The sequence below is a fragment of the Homo sapiens genome, chromosome 1, assembly GCF_000001405.40.
Source record: "Homo sapiens chromosome 1, GRCh38.p14 Primary Assembly".
Classification (NCBI taxonomy): Eukaryota; Metazoa; Chordata; class Mammalia; order Primates; family Hominidae; genus Homo; species Homo sapiens.
The window spans coordinates 115,650,300-115,677,269 of NC_000001.11; the positions used below are offsets into that span (position 1 = coordinate 115,650,300).

General features: G+C 45.7%; 1 protein-coding gene across 3 annotated transcripts in view, besides 2 other annotated features; it reads left to right on the forward strand.

Annotated features, from left to right (window-relative positions):
- Positions 1–26,970, forward strand: part of VANGL1 (VANGL planar cell polarity protein 1) — a 56,252-nt gene that overhangs the window by 8,330 nt on the left and 20,952 nt on the right. For 2 of the 3 annotated variants that reach the window (NM_138959.3, NM_001172412.2), the window contains exons 2-4: positions 978–1,185; positions 9,342–9,474; positions 13,362–13,969. In NM_138959.3, the coding sequence (NP_620409.1) occupies positions 1,115–1,185; positions 9,342–9,474; positions 13,362–13,969 (812 nt within the window). In that variant the 5' untranslated portion in view covers positions 978–1,114. The remainder of the gene's footprint in view (positions 1–977; positions 1,186–9,341; positions 9,475–13,361; positions 13,970–26,970) is intronic. The other variant, NM_001172411.2, reaches the window with a different exon arrangement.
- Positions 749–1,043: an enhancer, noted in NCBI's record as "tiled region #4355; K562 Activating DNase matched - State 5:Enh". NCBI's record gives its function as "activates a minimal TATA promoter and a strong SV40 promoter by Sharpr-MPRA in K562 cells {active_cell/tissue: K562}" and the evidence as "EXISTENCE:reporter gene assay evidence [ECO:0000049][PMID:27701403]".
- Positions 21,087–21,641: an enhancer, noted in NCBI's record as "H3K27ac-H3K4me1 hESC enhancer chr1:116214007-116214561 (GRCh37/hg19 assembly coordinates)". NCBI's record gives its function as "activates a minimal SCP1, AML or CMV promoter by ChIP-STARR-seq in primed H9 embryonic stem cells {active_cell/tissue: H9 hESC(primed)}" and the evidence as "EXISTENCE:reporter gene assay evidence [ECO:0000049][PMID:30033119]".

Genomic DNA, 26,970 nt, shown 5'->3' on the forward strand with positions numbered 1-26,970 from the left:
GCTCTGGGGTGAGGGGTGCAGAAAGAGACAGAACTTGTGGATCTCGGTTTTCTAGAAGTAAAAATTTTAGCATGTGGGAGCTCAGGAATGTACTTGGAAATGTTTCCAATTTATTTTTATTGCAAAGCAATATCTAATGAAAATGTGGGAGAAGACCCAGGAGCCTGCAAATAATAAATTGCCTGCTTTCATTTTCTGTGTCTCCTTTTAAAAATCTTTGTCCTTACATAAGCAATTTTATACAATTGTAACTGTAATGTTGGTTCACTGTGTATCAACAATACTGTATCCTGCTTTTAAAATTCATCATTATAAGAGTTTCTATTCTTTATAATGATCATTTTAAACATATGTGATACTTTTCTGGTGGATGAACCATGTTTTCCTTACCTATTCCTGTATTCTGGGGGCATTCAGATTGTTTCTAGCATTTTATTATTTATAGACAATGAGACCACAATAATTTTTCTTTAAAAAAGAAATCAGTTCCCTCAGATAAATTCCCAGAAATTCGGATCCTAGATCAAAAAGATTGAAGATCTTTTTTTTTTTTAATTGACTTTTGGAAATTATGACCAAATCCCTTAAAAGCAACTTCGCTGGGTATTGTTTTTTTAACCAGCAAACTGGCAGTGGGGGGCTGGGCATTGTGTGGAGGGTCGCAGATGTGGAAAGCCACCTCCTAAAGCCAGTGAGCAGGGGTCAGGTCATCCTGAGGACGTGGACAAGTGCCTCCCATTTTCCTGCTGCTGTGGTAGGGGTTCAGCTTGCTCAGCGCCTATCCTGTCTCCCTCCCAGACACCTGGGAAAACTGGTTGCTGCATGGGTGGAGCATTTACAGTTCAGTTGCTTCACCCTCACTCGCTTGTTCCATGATAGAGACCCCAGAGAGGAGGTGTGGCTTTGTCATTTATCTTTCAGCCCCATTAAGGTTGGCTCTGAAGATTAATGTCTTTTTTTTTCCCCCTCTTTCCCAGAATTTGTTCCTGTTGAAGAGTGGCTCCTCTTCTAATTTCCAGACTCCTTGAGGTTTTAGGAGTCTGGTAGGTGAAATTTTCTACCTCTAAGGAGAAACAGTACCTGCTCCTTCCTCAAGCGCAAGCCCTCCATTGCTATGGATACCGAATCCACTTATTCTGGATATTCTTACTATTCAAGTCATTCGAAAAAATCTCACAGACAAGGGTATGTAAGTTGTTCATTATTACACTTTTCCTTTTGGGGAAACCTACAGGTTGGTGGGGTTCTCTACACTCACTTTTCAGTGACTCAGCGCTGGACATTTGGTCGGTTGGTGCATGAGAAGCTGAGCTTTAAGAGCATTTAACATTCTTGGGAGTAACTACGTCACCAGTTTACATTTTATAGCCACCATTAGAGTTGATGACTTTAGTTTCTCACAATTGGTTTTAAATTAAAGTTTCTTCCTGCAGTGGAAATGTTTTTCATTTCTAGGTATTTCTTTTTTTTTTTTTGAGACGGAGTCTCGTTCTGTCACCCAGGCTGGAATGCAGTGGTGCCATCTCGGCTCACTGCAAGCTCCGCCTTGTGGGTTCACGCCACTCTCCTGCCTCAGCCTCCCGAGTAGCTGAGACTACAGGCGCCCACCACCACGCCTGGCTAATTTTTGTATTTTTAGTAGAGACGGGGTTTCACCTTGTTGGCCAGGATGGTCTCGATCTGACCTTGTGATCCGCCCGCCTCGGTTTCTAGGTATTTCTTATAGGTATCGGCTCTCCTGAAAGCTTTATGAAGAATGTAAATGGAAGATTTAAAAAGTGTTCATTGCTTGTTGCTTTTCACCTGAAGTTGTTGACTCATTGTCCATTATGCCTTTGTCATGAGGCTTATTTAGTGAACTGGTAGGATTGTCCTGGCACCTTATTCTTTTTGACTAATCTTCAGGTGAACAAGTTTGGGTTTTGAAAACACTGTCCTGAGTGATATTGGTCAAACTTCCCCTTCTCTGCAAAATTAGCAGGTGTGCACTGGTATTCTTAGGGCCTGCTGTGTTACTGACCTGTAGAATGTTTGTTAAGTAGAAGAGCAAATGAATGAATAAAGAAATCAGTGAACAGATAGGTGGCACTGTACCAGTTAGAATTGTACTTGGTGAAATTGCAGTGCTGCTGTTTACTTAGCCTTGTCATCTGTAAAATGGGTACAGCAGTCCTCTCCTACAGGGCTGTTGAGAGGATTAAATGAGATTATGCATGTGAAGCATGTAACACAGTACAGGCTGGAGGTCAGTCAACAGTGGCTAAAGTAATGCTGTAATGGCCTTGGCATTTCAGCACTATGTTCCAAGGTATCAACTGGCCCCAGCCCAAATGCCCAGCTCTGCACTGGCTTGGGAATAGTGATTGTAGTGGTTTTTCCCTGACTGCGCTCTTCCCCATACAAGCAGCCGAATGCAGAGTGAGATTTTGTTCTGTAAAACAGCAGTGAGCTACATATATCTAATTATTTACAAGCCCATCTGGATTACTAACGTAGAAAGAGGTTTGGGAGGGTGACCTCCCAAGCTGCCAGGAGTGGTCATCCATAGGGGGAGGCTCGGCAGAAGCTGGAGAATGATGGAAATTTTCATTTATCTTTTTGTACTTGTTCAATTTTTTTTACAAGTGTATATTTTGTAATTTTTAGAAATGAATGGAATATAGTATAAGGATAGGTTCTCAAAGATGTTTGATGACTTGAGGAAACGTTCATGAGACCATGTTAAAAGAAACAGGATTCAAAATGTTGTATGCTGTGATAGTTACATAGACATATGATGAGTATTCACATAGTGACTATGCCTGTCTCTGAGTGTAGGATTATGGTCGTATTTTCTTTTTAACTTTAATTGTTTTCTAAATTTTTATGTATTGCTCTTATCAAAATTTGGGGAAAACATGTCAGCGAGCTTGTGCTGGAGTCCAGGTAAGGCTTTCAAATAAGGATGAGAAACAGAAGGAGCTCGGGGCAGGTGCTGCTGGACGGGGCCTGTGGTGACATGGCAGAGCCCAGCTCCTGAGACAGTCACAAACCCTCTGGCCATAAGAATTGAATCACACATTTCAGCTGGTGGGTAAACTTACCAGATTTAGTTATGAAATACCAGAAACAGCTGTTTTAAAATACCAATTTTGTTTAGCACTACCAATTCCCTTGTCAATACCAGGCTTCCCTCATCCACACCACAATGACAGAAGTAGGAATTTGGGATTCCCTGGGTGCTTGGGGATGAACAAAGCAGGTTGGCTTTGCAGTATCCTTTGTGGGAACCATCTCTGGGCTCTTTTGTCTACACTCGAGTTCTGACTTTCACGCTTCGGGGCCCATTGCTACGCTCTGCTATTTCCTTAGGCCTCTTGGGGCCTCCAGAAATTGATATTCCAATGCCCTTGTAGTAACTTTAAGAGACTGTAACTTCCAATTAAAACAACACGCAGAATTTTTAATGCATTCTTGGACCCATATAGAAAGTACTTGGCAAATGTTAATACAAGCTGAGTCTTTTAATCAATTATTCAAAAAATGTTCCTGGATATCTACTCTGAGAAAAGCTCTGAGAGAGGAGATGAACCTTAGAGATTTGTAGGTGCACTCCATGGGTTCTTTAAAAAACACCACTACCACCTACGGGTGGTGGATTCTCCAACTGACTGCAGCATAGGGCACAGCAACTGTGGGGTGAGAGGCACCATCCCTAGAGAGCACGGGCTGTGGTGTACTTTGCTGGGGCCTAAAGGATGTTAAGCAGTAGGGTTGCCCCCCACAGGCATGAGAGCAGGCCCCAGGCCCAGCTAAGGGTATTTTGTCCAAGGAGTGTTCCTGTGAAGGCTGCCCTGCTCAGAGGTTTGTTGGGAACTTGAATGGAAGGGTAGGAGGCGGGTTGGGGTTGGAGGGGGACCATGCTCTTTGGTAATTTTAGTCAGAGTCCAACTCAGGGAGGAATAATGAAATGCACCAAACTTGATATGCCTGATGACACCATGATCATCTTAGAAGACTGGCCAGGTTCCAAGCAGATGACAAGTGACTGTTTTCTAACAAAGAGGTCAGTGGCCTGGTTTTGCGATGCCTGCAGTCTCCAGAGGGTGTCCAGTTAACTTGCTGGGAGAATGGTGTGGACTCCTGCTGACCCCGCCTAACTTTTGTCATTGTGGTGTGGATGAGGGAAGCCTGGTATTGACAAGGGAATTGGTAGGGCTAAAAAAAAAAAAAAAAAAAAAAAATTGGTATTTTAAAACAGCTGTTTCTGGTATTTCATAACTAAATCTGATCAGTTTACCCACCAGCTGAAATGTGTGATTCAATTCTTATGGCCAGAGGGTTTGTGACTGTCTCAGGAGCTGGGCTCTGCCATGTCACCACAGGCCCCGTCCAGCAGCACCTGCCCCGAGCTCCTTCTGTTTCTCATCCTTATTTGAAGTTGGGTTTGGAGCACAAGTTCCCTAATTTAAACAGAGCAGCTGCCAGTTATGTTAACTGCTTTGGGGGTGTCTGCTAGGCCCCTCCCTCATAGCCATTGTCTCCTATTCTCACAGCAGTCCTAGAATGGCGGGAGGTCATAGCCCCATTTTACGGGTGATGAAATCGAGGCACAGAGGGCAGTGTTATTTGCCTAAAATTACAAAGTTAGTAGGTGCCCTCAGCAGATTTTGGGCCAACCTTGTTTCTTTAGAAGAGAAATGCTACTTTAGGAAAGGGAAACGAAGGGTGACTCATGTGATTGATGTGCTAAAATGCACAAAAAGAGGGCCGCCGGGGCAGTGAGGAATTGGTGCTTTTGTTTCAAGGCTGCTTCAGAGTCTGTGTGTCCTGCGCCCAGCGCTCCTACCCCAGCCATAGCCAAGAGGAAGCAGCCAGCCGGGCCCCAGCAGCCAGCAGAGAGAAAGGACGGGTCGTGGGTTGTGGGAGAGAAGGAAAGGGAGGAGTAACCGGTGGGGCCAGCTTTCCCCAAATAGAAATAGGCAAACAACAGAAACAGGACTAAATAATCTTCCCAGGAAATGCTGACTGTAAGTGAGAACAGTGAGAATTACAGGGGTTCTAGCTGGAACGAGGAGGGTGACAGCAACCCCCAAGGGCTTAGCTCTAGAACCACCTAAACAGATGCATTTGCTCACACACGTGTGGTGCAGACACATGCCCGGGCTGCCTGCATGCCACCACTTGCTCTTCCTGCCCCTCACACAACACGCACAGATATACTTATCTTTACTCATACAGGCAGATGTTGCGTGGAGACAAATTCAGAGATAAAGATACGAAGAAAAACTCTCGTAGCTGACACAGCCACCCAGCAAAGGCACAGAGGTGATCCAGACCACTGAGGCAGAGTTGGAAAAACACACATGTATACATGTGTTTGTAACACCTCTCCCTGTGGCTTGGCAGTCTGTTTACTCTCCTGGTCTCCCATTTCCATACTCTTAGATGCCGTGAACAGATTGTCTTCATCATTGGGGAACCCTCTCCCAGACAGCACTTGGCAGCCATAGGTTTTCCCTGGAGTTGTGGCATCTGGAACTACAGGGATGAGCATTTGAGTACATATTACAGTGAGGTGGCCACACTGTGACCCGCAGTTCTGCAGACTGGAAGGCACTGAATGCCAGGATTTTTGCAGAGTGTCACTATGAAGTCCTGACTTGGCTCAGAGACCTTCTTAGAGCAGTAATTCGGGACCAGTGGATTTCTGATAAAGTTATTCTAATTTTCTAATAATTGTTTTCTAATAAAAGCCATATGGCAGGTCCTGCTCCCTTGGTAGCATGACCAGTACCTGGCGCAGTGCTAGTGCTGAGCTGACAGGAAGTGCCTCACCTTCATCTCTCACTTGACAGTGGGTGGAAGGTTCTTGGCTCGGTATCCCTCAGTCATGACTGCACACTGTCCTGAGCTTTTCTCCCAACTTCATCCACTTCATACTATTTTAATAAAGCGGTGCTGTGTATTATAACATTGTGCAGCTGAGCATTACACTCATGGCTCCCATTATCAAGCCCCTGCTATATACAGGGCATTTCACAAAGAAGCAAACTTCCAAGCAGTCACTCAGCAACCTCCTCCTAGGAGCATTTGGGGAAGAGAATCTTGGGGCAAGTTTCCTTTACCACCTGCAGTCACCTGGGATGCTGGGAAAAATTTTGATTTCTGTTGTCTCCCTTCCAGAAAATTATTTGAGAGTGGGGCCAACAAATCTGCACTTGAGTCCATACCTAGGATAGTTTTTCTGTGCAGTTTTTTAAGTTTAAGAGGTTTTTAAAGTTTAAGACACACTGGTTAGGGTTTTGGGCTCTGGAGGATGAGAAACCTTGCTTGGGTTATCAGATAACAGATTCTTCTCTGGTTTCCCTCCGATGTTATCAGGGGAATTGTTGGTTGTTTCACATTTGGGTGCTCCTGGGCCTTTTAAGAGCCAGGCTGGGAGGGCTGGTGATGGCAACCCTGGCTGGCAACAGAGGCTGTTTCCACCCCTGGGTGGCTCCCCACCTGCTTTCTGCCCTGGTAGGGTTCAGGCTCCGGGAATTGGCACTCAGTGAAAGAATTTTGATTTCCAGTGGAATTTGTGCTGTCACAAGATTTGACCCATGGGACTAGTGAATAGATAGATGGGTTAGGTGAGCATGTGACTTGGCTGGTGGCCGAGAGAGTGATAAATGTGAGAGTAGCTGGGGAAAATGGAAACGGATTAAGATAGAAGAGGGGCATTGTCCATCTGGCCGATGGCAGGGCTGGTGGAGCAGCAGTTCTAGACTATTCTGAGGTTAGTTCAGAAACTGACCTAACAACGTGGGAAGTCTCTCCCAAATTGTTTATAGTTTCTCACAGTGGGTGCCTTTTGAAGTGATTGTATTTGACAGCCCAGAGTGTTGGGCACACAGCTTTGTGCTATCTAAGGTCACGGTCCAATTGTGATTCCTAGCAATAGCTTCAAGGCATATTTCATAGCTCTAATAGTTTTCAAGTATAAGGGTGTGAGAATGAGCTTTAAGAATATTTATGCCATGAAATCTTCCAATTGCTCTTCAACACGGTGCACCATAGTAGGTGTGAATAGAAGTGGTGGCAACAGACCTGAATTCAGGTCTGCCACTGACTATAATACTAGCTTGAGAAGTAACTTGAACTCTGTGAGCCTCAGTTTCCTTGTCTGTAGAATGAAGACAATGATACTGCCTTCATAGGATTATTATTAGGATTAAATGAAATATTATAGTGAGGCATTCAGCAAAGTGTTCTATAAATTGGGGTAGGATGTGAGGTAATTGGCATTGTTAGATGCGTCTCTGGGTAAACAACCAAATTTTCTGCTTATTTGGCTGTTTCCCTAGCTGCCTTGTTAAAACAAAACACCTGAGTTGACCAGAACACCTCTGTTTTTAGAATCTAACTTTGCAGTTGTATTAGTCTCTTCTTGCATTGCCATAAAGAAATACCTGACACCTTCATAAAGAAATGAGGTTTAACTGGCTCACGGTCCTGCAGGCTTTACAGGAAGCATGGTACTGACATCTACTTGGCTTCTAGAGAGGCCTCAGGAAGCTTACAGTCATGGCAGAAAGTGAAGCAGTAGCAGGCACATCACATGGTGAAAGCGGGAGCAAGAGAGACAGTTGGGAGAGGAGGCGCCACACACTTTTAAACAACCAGATCTCCCAAGAACTCACTCACTATCGTGAAGATAGCACCAAGCCATGAGGGGTCTGTCCCCATGATCCAGACACCTCTCACCAGGCCCCACCTCCAGCACTGGGGATTACAATTGAGCATGAGATTTGGGTAGGGACAACTATCTGAACTGTATCAGCAATAGAGTGTGATTATAAGTTATGCTGTAGGAATAGAATTGTTGTCACTGAAAGATTCCCTTGGCCATGGGAGCCTCCTGGCTCTATGAAGGAATCAGCCAATGCTTATCCCAGGGAGGTAATGATAAGGTCGAAGTTTGACAAGAAATCTACGTTTTCTTAAGCTAAGTAGTAGGTTAACAGAAGATATGTTGTGTGTTAATAGTTCTATTTACATCTCTTTCTCCAAGGTTATACACACTCTGCATCACTAAGTCAAGACACCATTCTTTGACACTGGCTAATAGTAATAGCAATCATAGCCACTGTGCATTAGCACTTACTCCACATCCTTGTACTGAGCACTACTTACATTATGTGGTGTTGTCATTGTCACCATTTCATACATAAAGAAACCAAGGTTTTCAGAGATTGAATAACTTGTGCAAGATCACACATCTGGTAGGGCAGATCCAAGATCTGTTTGTCTCCAAAATCTGCTTCTGTCCTGCCTGGGAGACCTTGGGAATGACGGCAAGTGGTTGTAGGAAGGAGGGCTGATGTCAAGGTGGCTGTGGGGGCAGGAGGCTGAGGGAACTCACTGACCCTTGAGGGACTCCTTAGGTGGGGGATTCTGGGTTTCCTGTTGGCAGCTGGAGGGGGAGTGCCAGTTCCCATAAGTGGTTATTGCCCAGGTTGTGACCTTGGCTTGGCCAGTGATTGGTTCATTTTGGAATTTCATGAGTGACCCCCAGGCAGGGTTCTTACAATCACGCTGGAAGACCACCCAGGAAGTTCCTGTGGGGTAAAATGATGCAGCAGCCTGCTTTCCTCAGGAGGTCTGAAACCCTCCCCATGTACACACACACACACACACAAACACACACACATCCACCCACACACCCTCCACCCCTCTTGGTGTCTTTGGCCTTTTTTCCTAGCTTGTTTGTTTCTATGGGTGTCTTCAAGTTCAACTAGAACCTATGGGAATGACTTAGTTTTGAACCTGTAAGAATGAGAAGTAAACAATTCTTTGTACTGACTTTGAATTTCCTTTCTTCTGTTGTCCAAAGGTGAAGGGTGACAATGTGTCCCAGATTTTTTTGGATATTCTACAAAAAAATAGATATTTTTTTGTAGAAAAAAGCTTATTCTACAGTGTTGTCCCAATTTTAAAAGCCCTAGAAAACTGGTTAAGGCAAATTATAACCAAATCAAATCACTAATTATTACAATAAAGTGTAACTAGCTACAAAAATCCTAAAATTACAATTTTAGGCTTTGAGAAAATATCACTGATGATAGAGGAAGAGTGACAGTCTTTGTTTTGGGTCTTGGGATGGCAGAAAGAAAATATTTAGTAGGGAGTAAAGATCAGTGTACCCCTTGAAGTGTGGTGAAGATGGGTGGGTTTTGATGCTCTGTGTGTGTGTGTGTGTGTGTGTGTGTGTGTGTGTATGTAGAATTTCCCTAAATTCAAAATGATACTTACATTTTGATAAACCCAGAGAGTTAATTAACATGGCATAAATGTGCTAGCTCATTGTTGTTTTTCAGGGAAAGAACTAGAGAGAGACACAAGTCACCCCGGAATAAAGACGGCAGAGGGTCAGAAAAGTCTGTCACCATTCAACCTCCCACTGGAGAGCCCCTGTTGGGAAATGATTCTACTCGGACAGAGGAAGTTCAGGTAAGGATCAAAGGTGGTCTGTAAGCACACTGCCACTTGGCCAAGACTCCTGTCTGTAAATGTTTTCCTTAGGTTCTCTTGGATTTTTGTCTTTATTTTTCTAGCATGCTAATTAGTTTATCTATGTCCCATGGTCTCTTGTTGGTCTAAGGACAGCCTGTCCTGCCCTTTGGTAGCGTGGGGATTCTTCTGAAGTATGATTGGTTGGCCTGCTTTACATGGTGTGGAAAAGTAGCCAGCAAGGTTGACGACAGGGTTGGGAAGGGAAAAGCTGAAGTCTCCCACGACTCATTTCAAAATGGAACAGTATAAGGGGGAGAAGGAAACTCAGAAAACCTAAGAAGTTTAAAAAACATGGGGCAGCCCAGACTGACCATTACTACTAGAGCTATGCAGGAATTGAGAGGCCGCACGCTCAGATGCCTGGTAGAGAAACGTAAGTTAATTAAGGAGGCCCTGGGTCGAAAAGAGGGGGCAAAAATATATTAACCTAGCTTTGGGTTAACAGCAATCTGTGCAGTGCCTCAGTGTCAGTGCTGTAGTGTGGTGTGAAGGAGCCTATGGCTAACTGGAGAATGCATTTCCTCTGTAAAGGAAACAGCAGCTCCGCAGCTCCAGACACCTACTGTTGCTCAGGAATGCAGGGATTCATTGTTTGAGAAAAGCTGCAAATCAGGATTTTATGTGGAATCCTAACTTTACAGTATTTTTGAAATACTGATACTTTATTAATTTTTTTGAACCATTGAGTGGGTTCTTCTCCAGGTTCCAACTGTCTGGCAGCCCACCTGATTTAAATAAACATCTGAGCTATACACAGAAACATGTCTGCATACCCTCTGCACATCCTGAAGTATATATACACATGTCCAGCCTTGCCCCTCATAAACAAAGTGGTGTATGATACACAGCTGTAAAGATAGATATAGGACTATAGATAAGCATACATCTGTACATACCTGTGCATACACACAGGTAAGCATTTATAATCAAATAGGTGGACTGAAACTGGAATTCCTCAGAGTACACAAGGTGTTCTTGGGACACAAAACTACAATTGTGGGTTGAACGTGGGATTCATTGAGCAATGAGCAAATGCCTTTAGTGCTGCCTGCCTTGGCTCTGGGATGGCTGATGGTCGGATGGGGCCAGTCTTAGGATTGGATCACCCTGGAGTACTTGAAGGGGTCAGTTTCCTCCTGGATGTGGGTTCAGAGGTGCCAGTGGCCTACAGCAAAGGCTCTTCTTTCTCTGCATCTCCTCTGCACCTCGTAGCTGAGAACACTTTGAGAAGCTCTTGGTGTTGCCCCAGGATGATCTGGTGTGAAAAGCATTGAGATGGGTGTTTGGAGGCTGTATTTTTTAGTAGCTCTGTTACCTTGAGCAGTCACAGCCTTTGTAGGCCTCAATTTCTTTATTGAAAATCTAGGGGTTTTGATGAAAGCATCTTAGGTGCTTTTTCTTCTAAGAACCTGAAGCTTAACAGGATCCTTTGTGTATCTACATGTTTTAGGCATACATGTGCACCCCAGGAAATTCTCTCATGCCCTTTCTAGTCAATCTCTGCCCCACCCTCACCTCTCCAAGGCAACCACTGTGTTGATTTCTATCACTGTAGATCAATTTTGCCTGTTTTTGAATTTAGTATAATTAGAATCATATGGTCCATCTCCTGCCCCCACCCACCCGCCCTGCTTAGCATAATGATTTTGAGATTTATCCATGTTTTGGTATGTTTCAACAGCTTATTCTTTTTATTTTTGCTGAGTAGTATTCCATTGTATCAGTCTACCACAATTTGTTATCCATTCTCCTAGTGGATGGACATTTGGGTTTTTTTTGTTGTTGTTTGTTTGTTTTTTGAGGCAGAGTCTTGTTCTGTCGCCCAGGCTGGAGTGCAGCGGCATGATATCACCTCACTGCAGCCTCTACCTCCCGGGTTCAAGCGATTCTCCTGCCTCAGCCTCCCGAATAGCCGGGATTACAGGCACGCACCACCACGCCCAGCTAATTTTTGTATTTTCAGTAGAGATGGGCTTTCACCATGTTGGCCAGGCTGGTCTCGAACTCCTGACCTCAGGTGATTTGCCTGCCTTGGCCTCCCAAAGTGCTAGGATTACAGGCGTGAGCCACCGTGCCTGGCTGGATGTATATTTTTATTAATTTTTGGATAAAACCTGAGAGTGGAATTGCTGGGCCATATAGCTAAGTGTATATTTAGATTTATATGAAACCGCCAGAGTGGTTTTCCAGAGGCACTGTACCACGGTCCACTTCCACCAGCAGTGTTGGAGAGTCCTGGCTGCTTCTGGCCATCGTCTGAAATAGGAATTTCTCTCACTGTAGGTGATACTTCTGACTTTGCAAGTTGAAGGATTATTAGTTTATGGGATTGAGACCTTCACCACCACCGCTTCTTACCATAGCCCATACATTTCATAAATCATGGTTTTTTTGGTCATTACTAGATTCGGAGTTATTTGATGATGAGCGATGTCTGTCTTGCTGATTTAGCTACTAACTGAAACTAGCTTTTTCTAAGTTGGTGTCCTAATTTCACCCCCTTTGCCACTGCATCTGACTGTTTTCTTTCCGAGTGAAAGGATACATACAAATTTCAGAGGCAGAAACCTCTTTGGCCTCCTGTGTCTTTTCAGCGCCTTGCTCTTATTGCTTCATTATTGTTGCCAGTTGTTTTTAAACAACAAAATCCTTTAAAATTCTATCAACTGGGTTTTGCTAAGTGAATAGACTAATTGCTTTAACTAGCAACGGCCTAGAAGTTTAAAAAGAGAGGAAGCTAGAAAGTAAAAGATAACATTTTAATAATCCTGGTTGTTTCTATGCCCTTGATGTTTAGTTCCTCGTGAAAACATGTTTTAGAAAGAATTTTTAAGCCAATCTGGCCATACACGGATTCCTGGATTTGCTTAGCTTGGTCCATGAGAAATATTGTTAAAGAGTGCTTGACACTGATGCTTGTTAAGTGGATCTTGTGAACATCATAAGGAGATTTTTTTTTTTTTTTTTTGAGACGGAGTCTCACTCTGTAGCCCAGGCTGGAGTACAGTGGCACGATCTCAGCTCACTGCAACCTCCGACTCCCGGGTTCAAGCGATTCTCCTGCCTCAGCCTCCTGAGTAGCTGGGATTACAGGCATGTGCCACCACGCCTTGCTAATTTTTGTATTTTTAGTAGAGACGGGGTTTCACCATGTTGGCCAGGATGTTCTTGATCTCCTGACCTCCTGATCCGTCCGCCTCGGCCTTCCAAAGTACGGGGATTACAGGTGTGAGCCACCGCGCCCCAGTCCATAAAGAGATTTTAAAATGTGGGTCCTAGCTACAGGTAAGCTTGGGTTTGTGTAGTGGTGTAAGTTCCCTTGCTACGCCCTTTGCTCTTCTGGGCTGCTAGAGGGTGTAGTAATACTCCCACCTCCAAAAGTTGGACTTCGTAAGCCTTTATAACCCAGCGTGAATTGGAAAGAAGATGCAGGAGGTTTATCTCTATAGATGAGCTCTCACAAGATTAGTCTAATACCTGGGTTGCGCATTGCAGGGCAAACAGCTCCAGGCCCTCAGAGCTGCTCAAGGCTTTTCAACCCAGGGGATGATAATCAATGTTATGTCAATGAATCAGCCAAACAGACAGAAAGATCACATTATGTTTTCTCTGTTTGAAAAGGTAAATACCTCATACATTTTGAAAATTTCAATGAAAATCGTTTGAGTTAAGAAGTTCTAATATTTAAAGAGTTAAGCTTTCATTTTCTGGAAGCCTTTGTGAATAGGGCTGGGTAGATGCAGCGGGCCCTGCATGTTCACTGCCCTTTGTAGCTTTTACAAATGACCTGTGTCATGTCATCCTCACTGTCTTCTCCCCACCAGGATGACAACTGGGGAGAGACCACCACGGCCATCACAGGCACCTCGGAGCACAGCATATCCCAAGAGGACATTGCCAGGATCAGCAAGGACATGGAGGACAGCGTGGGGCTGGATTGCAAACGCTACCTGGGCCTCACCGTCGCCTCTTTTCTTGGACTTCTAGTTTTCCTCACCCCTATTGCCTTCATCCTTTTACCTCCGATCCTGTGGAGGGATGAGCTGGAGCCTTGTGGCACAATTTGTGAGGGGCTCTTTATCTCCATGGCATTCAAACTCCTCATTCTGCTCATAGGGACCTGGGCACTTTTTTTCCGCAAGCGGAGAGCTGACATGCCACGGGTGTTTGTGTTTCGTGCCCTTTTGTTGGTCCTCATCTTTCTCTTTGTGGTTTCCTATTGGCTTTTTTACGGGGTCCGCATTTTGGACTCTCGGGACCGGAATTACCAGGGCATTGTGCAATATGCAGTCTCCCTTGTGGATGCCCTCCTCTTCATCCATTACCTGGCCATCGTCCTGCTGGAGCTCAGGCAGCTGCAGCCCATGTTCACGCTGCAGGTGGTCCGCTCCACCGATGGCGAGTCCCGCTTCTACAGCCTGGGACACCTGAGGTAAGAGGCAACATCCAGGAGGCAGAAAGGATGGCTGATGTCTTGCTGGGAGACAGCTGCTCTGTAGCACGTGAGGGGTGGTGACAGATGCCAAGAGCTAGGACCAGAGTCTGACTCTTTTCTGGTTTGGGGAGGAGATGCGAGGGTGGGGAGGGTGTCCATGTTCATTGAGTTTCTGGACTTCTAGATGGTGCGGGGCAGTTGCTGGCTCTCACCCAGGTTGAGATTTTGCTGGGCTTGTTCTCAAAGTTATTGGCAGCTCCCAAAAATGATGGAGAAAGGAGATGCATAGTGATGGCTGCCTTCTTTGACTCTGAAATTGGCCAATGGACAACAGATAAAGTGACCAGCAGCTCCATTTTGTCCCAAATGTGACATCTGGTTTACCATGTTGTCCCAGTGGAATAATGAATTGTTCCTTTTTTCCCACTCTCAGAGGCCTGGTTTGGGCAGTAAATTATATGGTCATCCGAGGGACCCTCCAATAAAGAATCAAGTGCAGGTTAGAGACTCCAAATGTGTAATCCTTGAGTGTTGTGAAAATGTATGCGTGAGAAAAAGTTAGAAGTCAGTTGGGTTGTCATACTTACATCTCTGCATAAAATCTCATTATTTTGTGGTTAAATAAGAGTGATTACCATCATTTTATTTGCTTCAAGGTAAGCACTTTATATATAGATTGTGTATTTAGTCTTCATAGAACCCCGTGACCTAGGTATTATTAATCCCTGTGTCACAGATGAAGAAACTAGGGCTTAGGGGATTTAAGTAATTTGCACAAAAACATATGGCTAGCCTCATTTAGGATTCACTCAGATGTCATGAGGCCAGGGCTGAGTGAATGCCCCCATAATGGCATCTCTCACTTTGTGGTTAGTGGCCTATTTTTCCATCTGTTTTCTTCCACAGACTATGAACTCCCTGAGGCCAGGGGCCACCCTTATACCTCATTACATCCTCAGTGCCTGGCATGGAGCATGGCTTGCACTGAGATGTTCTCTGGGTGAATGCAGAGCCTGGGACATTTGACTTCAAAGCCTTTACCCTCTCCCAGGCTCTCTGCCTCCTTAGGCAGTATATGCTGATGTGTGTAGCCTGCTTGGGGCAGGGTAGGCACTTAGTTCATTGCAGCTATTACTGCTGTGATCATGTAGCTGGCAGAGCAGCCAGAATCAGCAAGGGCACACCTTAGTGGGTATCAGAACAATCGGCTTTGTCATAGATTTGGCTGGGCTCCAGGAAGGTGGCTCAGCCTGTATTTGGAGTCAGGCCATGCTGCCAAACCATCTTCATGTTGGTGTGTACCCTCCTCCATTCCTCTGGCTTGGCTTGTGCTACGAGAACGGGATGATCTAGCGTTCAAGGTTGCTGCCACCCTAACTGATCCTTGGTGGAAACTGGTGTCCAAGTCACATGTCTGTGCACCAAAAATCTGGGGTTTAGAGTCCTTCACAGATGCCTGTAGGGCTCTGAAGACAAGTAGGTCACCGCTTTGCTGCATATTCATCTCAGAAGGCTTTCTTTTCCCATGTTTTGCATCAGGGAATGACCAGCAGTTTTGTGTTAAACATCTGCTGTGTGCAGAGCCCTGGACACACCAGGCTGGCTGCCTTCAGAGCTCTATCTCAGCACCTGTGGCACTCACAGTCACTTGGAAAGAGACCAGTGCACCGCTGTCTGGTGGACAGGTGCAGAAACAGGCCTGGGGGTATAGGTGATAGGAACACAGGAGGACAGAGAATTTCAGATTGTGGCAGCAATAAAGCCGAGCAGGAGACAGTCTGTCTCAGAACAGGTTTTGCTGCAGTTAAAGTGGTAGAGAAAAATCCGGCTGTGGTCTCAGTGGAGATGAGTGATATTTGGAACTCTGTATATGTAAGTAGCCAAGACACTGGCCAGGAGTGAGGTCTATGGTGGTTTTGTTTTTTGGCCCTTAGCCCTAGTTGGTGTGAATTCCACCTGTGTAGGTGGGAAAGGGCAGGGCATCTTCTCACCATAGGTCATGCAGGGTGGTGGGACCGACTTACCCCCATGGGCTCCCACATCGCTCCTCCCTGTACGACTGGTTGAGCTGCACACTGCATCTGAGTGGGAGTGGAGAGGGGACAAACCAAACAGCCCGAGGAAAGTATGCCTGTGGCGTGTTCAGAAAGCATGATTAGCAGCAGCCCTCGCCTCCCACCACACAGCTCTGCTGGTCAGGGCAGAGCTGGATGGGAGAAGCCAGACTGATTGTGCTGCATGGCTCCCAGGCTTGCTGCAAACCTTTCAGTCTGCTCTTACCATGACCAACAACTGTCCAGGCTTTAAAAAACTCAAGTCAGTCACCCCAGCTCCCCAGGGAGAACTGAAAGGTGGCAAGTGCCCATCTGCCCTGGGGAGAGCGTTTTGAGGTGGTCCCCAGCCTCATCCTTTCGGCTTCTTTTTAGGACCATTGGTGTTCCTCCTCTCCCTGCCTTTAATAAGGCCCCCTTTGTCCCTCTCGTGGAGAGCCTGAGTTAGGAGGTGGAAAGAATGGCTGGGGAAAGAGGGACATCTTTACTGACAAATGGAGCCCTCAGGGAGAGCCAGATGCCCAAGTGTCAGCCAGTCTGCCAGAGCTGGAGCAGGCTTGGCACCTTTCCTCCTGGCATTGTGTGGGCCTGGTCACCTGCCGATCCTTGGGCTAAATCTGGTCTGAACCCAGCAGTGGCTGGAAGAGTTACTAGGCCAGAAATACAACTTCTAAGGCCTTTTGTAAAGTGTAGAAACAGACAGGAGGGAAGAGGGAGCGGGAATAGACAAAGCAAGCCTCGGAAATCAGAATAGCAGGTCTCCATTAGACCCAGCAGAATCACAGGCTGTTGGCTCTCCCTTTATGTAAAGCCTTCACCGTGGCAGCACCCTATTGGGCTTAGGTGCCAAGCGATGGTGAGTTCTTTTTTATGTTTTCAAAGATGATTTTATCGAATTGACTGAGCTATTTTTGAGAGTTGTCTAAAGAATGTCTACTCTTTAGTTTCTTAAAGAAAATAGGCTTCTCATTAGTTCATAAAAGGTGCTTGCTGTGGCCCTGCTTGTTGGCAGGAATGAAGTTTTGGGCTTATTTGAAAACTTTCAAAAATGTAAAAAGTTGTTGCAGAAAGTAAGATACCATAAATAGATTGAGATACTTCCTAACCTCTGCCCAGTGCCCTAGGAGTTATGAAAAGCTTTTCATAGGTTTGGACTCATTTACCCCTCCTTGCTGCCCTGTCAGAGGTCAGAGCAGGTGGGGTAGAGGTGTCCCCTCTTACAGTTGAGGTCCCCAACCCCCAGGGTAAGGGACCTGCTCAAGGTCACAGGGAATCAGCACCTTCCTGTGCATCACACCGCTTACCCCACCGCACTTTCTACAGCGTCCTGGTGTCTCACACAGTCGCTTTGTCATTTTCCATACACACCTTGCTCGTCACTTTTCTTGGCCCCGTTCTCACAATAAGTTGCTAACTTTTCCAGGATGTTACCAGAGACTAATGACTGTTGATATGACTTTATTTGAGGAGAAACCCAGAAGAATAGAAGAGCCTAAAAATTGGCATTCAATTATCTTAATCATTTTTCAGTTTTGAAACCTCTAAAGGGAAATAAGTGTGAATACTGGTGCACAGGCACTAGTGTAATTGACTGGTTGAATGTGAAATGGTAGAACAACAGAGACAGATAAAGAAAACCTTAACAATAAACAATTACATAGTCTTACTGGGAGCCAGGTACCTTCTGATCTTTTAATGTGCAACTCAGTTTTCACAACAATCATGTGAGGTAGGTTCTGGTAGCCTCCTTTTCAGATGAGCAAACCGAGGCGTGGGAGAGTTAGGTAAGTCTAAGGCCCCACACTTTGTAATTGTGGGAACCAGGATTTGAGCCCAGGCTCTCTGGTTCCAGAATGATCTTACCCATTTCACCATACTACCTCTGAATAGATAGTTGCATGTTCACGTCACTGCTTTAGGAACACATGAACAAACCCAGAAGCATTTTTTGAGTGTTTCCCATGTGCCAGCCTCGGTGCCAGATATTTTTGTATACATTATCCTGTTTCACTTAACACAGAGCTTAGGGCTGGAACAGAGAGAATGTGCAGGATTGTCAAGATGGCTTGCACTCTGAGGTCCATTCCTTAGCTCCACTGGTTATTTTATTCACTCAGTTGACAAAGCCTGGTCCTTAAAGTCATAGCAGTAGGTTTGAGCCTTTGGTCAGACCTTTTTAACTTCCTATACTTCACATGTCTCAAAGAAAATATATTTTATCTATTGTTGTGTAACAACTACCTCACCACTTAGTAGTTTAAAACAACCAATTCAGTATTTCTCACAATTCTGCAGCATGGATTGGGCTCAGCCAGGAGGTTCTTTAGCTGATCCTGCCCATGGTCCTGTGTGATTATACTCACATGGTGAGTCAGCTGAGGCTGACTTTTTTTTCCTGTGTATTCTCTCCTCCTTCTTTTCCTGTATATTCTCTCCTTCTCATGGCCTCTCCTTGTTGTTTCCTCATTAGGGTTGCTAGACTTCTTAAATGGCAGCTCAGGGCTCCCAGGAGCACAAAAGCAGAAGCTCCCAGGCCTTTTAAGGTCTGGGCCTGGAACTGTCCCAGTAGTATTTCCACTGCATTCTCTTGGTGAAAGCAAGCCACAGCCCTATCCCACATTTAAGGAGAGAGGACGACACAAGACAGAGGCTACTAGGATGTTAAGTTCAATGTCACAGACCCCCACAACCACCTCGGGCTGTCTTTCTCAGAGTCTGTTTATTCTCATTTTGCATATAGTTCTAACAAATTTAATTATTGATTTCTACATCTTAAAAAGCCCAGAAGTAATATATTTTGAGGGGAAAAAGTGCTGCTTTAAGGAGGTATATGAACATCAATGAAAAATGATAGCTGATAGTCATCAACAAGGAGGGAGACAGAGAAACCACAAAAGCAGGTATGACTCAGCACTCTGGGAAGCTTTCCACAGTGACCCATTCTATAGGATATTTATATTGCTGAAGCTCCCTTGTACCTAATTCAGCCAGCAGGTTTTAACTGTTTGGGTTTTTAAGCTTCAGGGTCAAAGTTTTGGGGTAAAAAATGCTTCATTCATTGAGACTGAGAGAGAGTAGCTTATAAATTGACACTGACCATAGACCTTGATTTTGTGTCCCCACCCAAATCTCATCTTGAATTATAGCTCCCATAATTCCCACATGTTGTGGGAGGGACCCAGTGGGAGTTCATTGAATCACGGGGGCGATTTCCCCCATACTGTTCCTGTGGTAGTGAGTAAGTCTCACAAGATCTGATCGTTTTATAAGAGGAAACCTTATAAAAGGTGGCTCTCATTTTCTTCGTTGTCTGTAAGATGTGCCATGTAAGATGTGCCTTTTGCCTTCTGCCATGATTGTGAGGCCTCCCCAGCCACATGGAACTGTGAGTCCATTAAACCTCTTTTTCTATATAAATTACCCAGTCTTGGGTATGTCTTTATCAGCAGCATAAAAATGGACTAATACAGATCTTTTAATCAAAGATGTGGTAACGAATCACAGAACCACCTGTGCTTTAGAAGAAATGATCCTTGGATTGCTTTTCAAGCAATGGAAGTTTATGATTGTCACATTGTCAATTGTGATTATATTCAAGGAAGTGTTATGGACTGAATGTTTGTGGTCCCCCCAAATTCATATGTGGAAGCCCTAACCTCCAGTGTGGCATATTTGGAGATGGAGCCCCTAAGGAAGTAATTGAGGTTAAATGTAGTCATAGTGTGGGGCCCTGATCCCATAGGACTGGCATCCTTACAAGAACAGATACCAGAGAGCTTGCTCTGTCTCTGCACACACCCTTAGAAAAGGCTGTGTGAGGCCCCAGAAAGAAGGTGGCCATCTGTAAGCCCAGAAGAGAGCCCTCAATAGGAACCAGGTTGGCTAGAACGTTGATCTTGGACCCCCAACCTCCAGAACTGTAAGAAAATAAATTTCTGTTGTTTAAGCTACCTAGGCTGTAGCATTTTGATACAGCAGCCTGAGCTGAGACAGGAATATTACATACACTGGAGACTTGTGACCCCAAAGACTTTTGACCTGTTGAATAGAGCTCATCTTGTCCTCTCTCCAGCTCATGCATGCATCCTCCCAGCTTGCAAGGGGGCCTTGCTTCTCTGGATTGCACTTTGATTTTCTAGTTTTAAGTGACAAAGGGAGAGTCTTCTAGGGATGTTAAAGTTACTCCAGTAATTCCAGGATATTTCCAGCTCCTTTTGAAATCTTATGTTTGTAATTCTGGGTCAAGTAATGTCCAAGCCAGTGATTACATTACTGGTAGGCATGTCTCTCATGCTGGGCCACGCCCTCCATCCCATGTTCACGATGAGCACCAACGGTCTCTGAGAGCCCAGAGCCAGTGGCTGCAACGTTGGGAAAATTCTTAAATGACCATCAGTGGTTTTGGCTCATGTTCCTACGATTGTGGGTTCATATACCATCTCATTTTTAGAAATGTGTGTTTTTGTACTCCTGTAATTACTTTTTAATAAAGATATTTTGCCAGTCCTTAGCTCCACTCCATAGCAAAGCAAAGGACAAGAACAAGTAAGGGCTGAAACATAGAGCGTGGAGGGTTTTGCTCAGGCCATGCTTTGCTGTGGGAGAATTTTGAAGGCGGGAGTGGAGCTGCCGTTTGTGGTTTGGTGCTGTGGTGCCTGTTAAAAGTGGCTTTAATGAGAGTGTAAGGTGCTGCACACTGAAGCCCTGTGTTTATTCAGCTGCCTCCTGCCAGCGGCTACAGCTGGGATGGCTTCCCTCGCACGGCGTCTGCCCACAGCCTTGCGCCCGGAGCCCAGAGGACTCACAGGAAAAGGAGCTGGCAAAGGTGAAGCTGGTTTTCATGGTCTCCTGAGGGCCCCTGGCCCCTGGGAGATGGGTCACACTCCCTGAATGCTGTGCTGTTGGTTTCCCTGGAGGATTCTTGCTGCAGGCCAGGTCCCGTATTCTCCACACTCACCACAAGTGGCTGGGTGTGACTTGACACGGTGTGAAAGTGGAGGGGCGCGAGCACTCAGGTGGGTGAACAGCCTGCGGCCTCCTTTCCCTGGCTGCAAAGCCGCCACTCAACTCTGCTCCAGCCCAGGTTTCGGGGAGCCGGGATCCACTTGGGCAGGCCGGGAGCCTCAGACTCCAGACTTTTCATGGTGCGCTCCTTCCTGCTTACTCAGGAGGAAGGCGAGGCAGTCCAGCATCCTGGGTGGAGTGGAGGTGTTTCGAGTCCATATCTAAATCTTTTTCTTAGAGCACCCTAAGCAGGCTGCTGTCTTTGATCCCCATGCCTCTGCTGTTTATCTTGGTGTGATTCATCACTGTAATTTAAGACGTGGAGAGAGCAAAGTTCCCATCCCAGGCAGGGGAGGCGCAGTGCAGGTTGGACTGTGTAAGGAAATGGCAGCATGGCGAGGTTTGTGCCGCGGCCTACAAGCAGGGCTGCATGCTCCCCAGGCAGACTGTGGCAGAGCCAAGCCCCTCACTTGTAGGGAAGCGTGTCTCCTAGGTGCCCCAGTAGGGGAGGTCTGCCAGCATCGCTGTGCTGTGGGGAAGGCAGCCAGAGGGCTTCATCCATAACTGGCTCAGCTCCTCAGGAGGAGACCAGCAGTGTGTCTCTGCACTCAGAACTGCCACTGGGTCGTGGTGTTAAGCCCAGGAGGGGTGCATATGTTGACAACCTTGTATTGCTTAGTTGCTGAGACCAGAAGATCCAGGTAATTGCATGAGCTATTAGCTACTTCTGGTTCTCACAAACTCCTCCCAGTGTTGATAGAGAATGGTGTCCTCCGGGCATGCTCTGGGTATAGTTTTATTTGTATTATTAGGGACTCATGGAGAAGTGCTCTGGGTGTCCTGCACACTGCACTTTGGAGATCATTCTGTGATTCCCAAGTCCTGCTGATTCCACTTCCTTGGCGCTCTGGGATTAGATATCCTAGGCTGCCAATCTGCATGTTCATCTTTCAGTGGGGATACCCTGCAGGGCTTGTCCACAGCTTGAATTTCAAACCAAAAGCCAGGTACGCTTTCCAGCCTTCCGATATTGGTTCAAAGAATTTGGCTGCCGAAGCTTTTGTGTAGCTGAGGCACCAGCAGGCCCGAGGCACGAGTGAATCCAGGTGGCCCGAGGAAGAGCCTTCCCATGGGCCTCAGCAGCCACACAGAGCCTCTGATCTGTTTCCCTTTGCGGGATGGTCAGTCTCCTGTGTCTCAAGACCTCAAGCAGAAACCTGTGGATCTCCCCCTCTATCTTGAAAGTCCAACCAAGTCCAGGCCTTTGTTGTGCAGTTTAAACCAGACCTGTCAGTAAACATGAGCTAATTCCAGTTTTTGTCCCTCTTTGTCCTTCTCAAGTTCCAAGGTGATCATTGCCTGTTATCTATGGGACTTGTGTAAGCTAACTTCCCAAATGCAGCTGTGAGACAAACATTTTAATTAAAAGGCAGAAGGGCCAGGAGATATAAACACTCATGTGCCTGGTTGTCAGTGAAGGCGGTGGCGTTCAGCGTCCAGGGGCTAATTATATTCTCTTCTCTGGGACTCACACAAATATTGCCACAAATGTACCTGACTGTCAGACTGAAGTCATTTATCTCCAAGTGTGGGGAGCAGTGAAGCCCACACGTCCAGGTAGATTTAGCTCTTACGGACTCTTCTGGGAAGCAGCAGGTGGGTAAAACTGAAAGCATCAGCTATTGCACCCTAGCTGCAGGTTTTCACAGAAAGCTGAATCAACTTGTATTGGGGATTCTGCATTTTAGAGTTCTCTCAAAGACCTAGGTTTGGGCCCTAAAATGCAGCCACCAGAGCAGGCACACCTTAAAAAGTAGGTAATGAGTGGCCTTAGTGCCTGGGCAGCCGTCAGTACTGGCCTCCTTTGGTTGTCCCTGTCCACTGACCCTCCTTCCTCCCGTTCTCTCACGTTTGCATTCATCTGCAGCCTCCATTACCATTGACCAGCTTTGCCGCTTACCTGCCTCCACCCTTCCTTCCCTAAGTTCGAGTAGTTTCCTAAGTAGCTTCCCCTTAGTTTCCTAAGGCTGAAGTAATAGAGTATAGCACAAACTGGATGGCTTAAAAGTTCTCCTTCTCAGAAAGTACAAAATCTAGGTGTTGGCACAGCTGTGCTCCCCGCAAAGCCTCTAGGGAAGAATCCTTCCTTGCCTCTTCCTAGTTTCTGGTGGCTGCTGGCAACCCTTCGTGTTCCTTTATGGCTGTGTCACTCCAGTTTCTGCCCCCATCATTACATGACCTCCTCTCTGTGGGTCTCTGTATGTCCTCTTTTTTTTTTTTTTTTTTTTTTTGAGACAGAGTCTTACTCTTTCGCCCAGGCTGGAGTGCCTTAGTGCGATCTCAGCTCTCTGCAACCTCTGTCTCCCAGGTTCAAGCAATTCTCCTGCCTCAGCCTCCCTAGTAGCTGGGATTACAGATGCATGCCACCACACCCAGCTGCTTTTTGTATTTTTAGTAGAGATGGGGTTTCACTTTGTTGGTCAGGCTGGTCTTGAACTCCTGACCTCAAATGATCTGCCTGTGTCGGCCTCCCAAAGTGCTGGGATTACAGGCATGAGCCAAAGAGGCCTGGCCACCTCTTTTCTTATACGGATACCAGAATGACTCTACCTTAACTAAACATAACATCTGCAAAGACCCTGTGTCCAAATAAGGTCACATTCTGAAGTTCTGGGTAGATGCAAATTTTGGGAGACACTATTTGCCACTACGGGTTTCTCCAAGTTGTGCTGTCCTGTGACTGAACACTGACCCTGTTGCTCTATTGTGGATGTTTGGGAGGATTAACACCAGCCTGTTTCTGCTCACACTGCTTTCTCTGCCTGGAATTTGCTTTACAGCCTGTTGTCCCTGGTGTGACCATCATTCATCTTGTAAGACTTAACAGCCCAGCTTTGCCCCCACTGTGGATTCCTGGCGGAAACACCGTCCCTCTTCTCCTGGTGTACATGTTCTGTCACGGTCTCTGGATCACTTGACTGTACTTATTGTTTGAGTGGTACTCACCACTAATTGGAGCATAAGCCCCTTGAAGGTTTCATTTACATCCGGGTCTCAGTACTAGGGACTTAGCAGGTGCTCATAATTCGTAACTGCTTTTGATGGAGTTGGAGAGGCTAGTTATTAAGATTTTTCTGAATGTAGCATCCTTAGCTGGCTTTCAGGATAGTGACTGCATGCTCTAAAAGGAGATCTTTGCAGATTTTACTCTATGATGAGAAAACTTTTTAGTACTTTTTCTGTCAGCATGTACCTAGGTAATAAGAAGAATGACGTGACATGTATTTGGGGAATTAGCATACAAGAAGTACTTTGACATTTTCCACGTGTGAAGAAAGCTGTTTTTATTGACCTAGCTGAAGGGATCAAATTCATATTTGAAAAGATGTGGCTAAAACTTGAAAAGGACTTGTCCATGGGGGATGTCTTCATCCCTTCTCCCTGCTCAGGGAGAAGTTGCAGGCCATAAAGTGTGAGGGCATCAGCCTGGATGAGCTCTAAAGCTCAATGTTAATTTCGGATTTTAATAACATGTAAGAATACAAGTTTGATTGCAGAAGCCACAATCAAGTTCAAGGGAGGGTGAATGAATGGGAAGTAGAAGGGACCATGTGTACGTCTGTGTGTGTGTGTGCATGTATGCACACATTTTTTTAGGCTTTGGTTCCTTTAGCTATAAAATAAGGGAGTTAAAATGGGGGTGGTTTATGGTCACGATTGTTTCCTTCAAGTATCTAAAAGGCTTTCACCAGCAAGGGGGACTTGGGTTCAGAACAAGGCATTGGGTGAACCAGTGGTAGAACTGAAAGGTCGTTTCAGTGTGAAAGTGAACTTTCTTTTCAAGCAAAGGCTGGATGTCATTTGGGAGCTTGTAAAAAGAATTGTTATATGGCTGCCAGGCGCAATGGCTCACACCTGTAATCCTAGCACTTTGGTAGGCTGAAATGGATGGATCCCTTAAGGCCAGAAGTTTGAGCCAGCCTGAGCAACATGGTGAAACCCCGTCTCTACTAAAATACAAAAAATGAGCCAGGCGTGGTGGCATGTGCCTGTAGTCCCAGCTACTCCGGTAGGCCGAGGCACGAGAATTGCTTGAACCTGGGAAGCAGAGGTTGCAGTTAGCTGAGATTGCACCGCTGCACTCCATCCTGGACGACAAAGGAGACTGTCTCAAAAATAAAAATAAAAATTGGCCAGGTTTGGTGACTCACACCTGTAATCCCAGCACTTTGGGAGGCCAAGGCAGGTGGATCATCTGAGGTCAGGAGTGCAAGACCAGCCTGGCCAACATGGCGAAACCCCATCTCCACTAAAAATCAGCCAGGCATGGTGGCGTGCGCCTGTAATCCCAGCTACTTGGGATTTGAGGCAGGAGAATTGCTCGGACCTGGGAGACAGAGGTTGCAGTGAGCTGAGATACGCCACTGCACTCCAGCTTGGGCGACAGAGCGAGACTCCATCCCTAAATAAATAAAATAATTAAAAAAAACAATTGGTATATGGATTGGGAGATTGGACTGATGGACTCTTGATTTCTCTGATTCTTGAATCTCTGCTTGGGTGAACACTAAGATTCCTTCCATTTCTAAAATTTTGAGGTTCAGTATAAATAGAAATGGGGTCATGCTTTTGTGGCTAGGAGCTGTGTGTATATTCTAGCCACCAACCAACCCCATCACCGCTGCAAAATGTTCATGCTTATTATTAGTAATGCGATAATTTTTTGTGTTTGTACAATGCATTATAGTTTATAAATGCCTTCACTGTCATTATTTCATTTGCTCTTCTCAACAACCACATGCAGTGGTTGGTGTTATCTCTTTATCAAAAGCCAAGAAAAAGGCCAAGAAGGGGGAAATGACTTATACAGGATTACAGGGTAGGTAGCAGGAATCTAGACCTTCTGGAATCTAGTACTCCTACAATGGATGCCTCCCTATAGGTAGGTTTGATTTTCAGGAGGCTGAGAGTTGGCAGGAAGTACTGCATAAAAACAAAGAGTAGCATAACTTTGTGGCCCCAGTCCCTAAGGAAAACTGTGCAGAGTGGACCCATCTTGGCTCATTTCCCATGGCAGTACCCTCATGGTGGGCCTCTGGAGGAGGTTGGTACAGGCGCACCTGGGATCAAGTTGGCCGCTTCAACATATATGGCCATATAAGCTCGTGGTGGCTATCGTTTATGAATTATTTACTTTGAATAACCACTTTAAAATGTGTTATTTCATCTTCAGCACAGACCTAAACCAGGCAGGCTACTCCTCTTTAGGAAGCAGGAAAGTGGTGGGTGAACTCCCAAGTCTCCAGTATTTTTCCTGGTATAAATGCCAACTAGCTTTGAAGTCTCATAATGTCATAGAACTTGGAATCATCCCAATGGATATTTAAGCTCATGAGACTTAACCTGCCTTAGGGCGATGCCGACCTCAGCCAGCACCTGGTATACTTGGATCTCGCAGGCTGCTGCTGGAGGTTCCGAGTAGCTGCCTGTACCAGGCCTGCCCCAGTCAATTCATTAGCCTTTCAGTAAGACGTTTTATGCCACTGAGTATTTTGGAGCCCACTTATCATGGTAATCAGGGTTTTCTGTGCTGCTCTTCCCATCCTGCAGATGAAGAGTATGAGGTTTGGAGAAGTGACTAATTTGTTCAAGGTGAATGAATGAGTGAGAGAGCCTGGAGTCATGTTGTCTGGGGCCAGAGTCTGCACCAGTTGCACTGTGCGTGCCTCCTCCCACAGCCTCTGTGCAGACTCAGACATGCACAGAGCATGGGGAGGCAGTGGATGGTCTAGATATGCAGGGCATTAATTTGGTTTGTATTTTTTTCTTCAGAATTTATCTTTAAAAAATATGTCTTTCAGATTTTTGTGCATTAACATTTGAACTACGTTTTGAGGTGCTTCTTTCCAGGTCTGTTTAAGAAATGTAGCCCAAGGGCAAGCC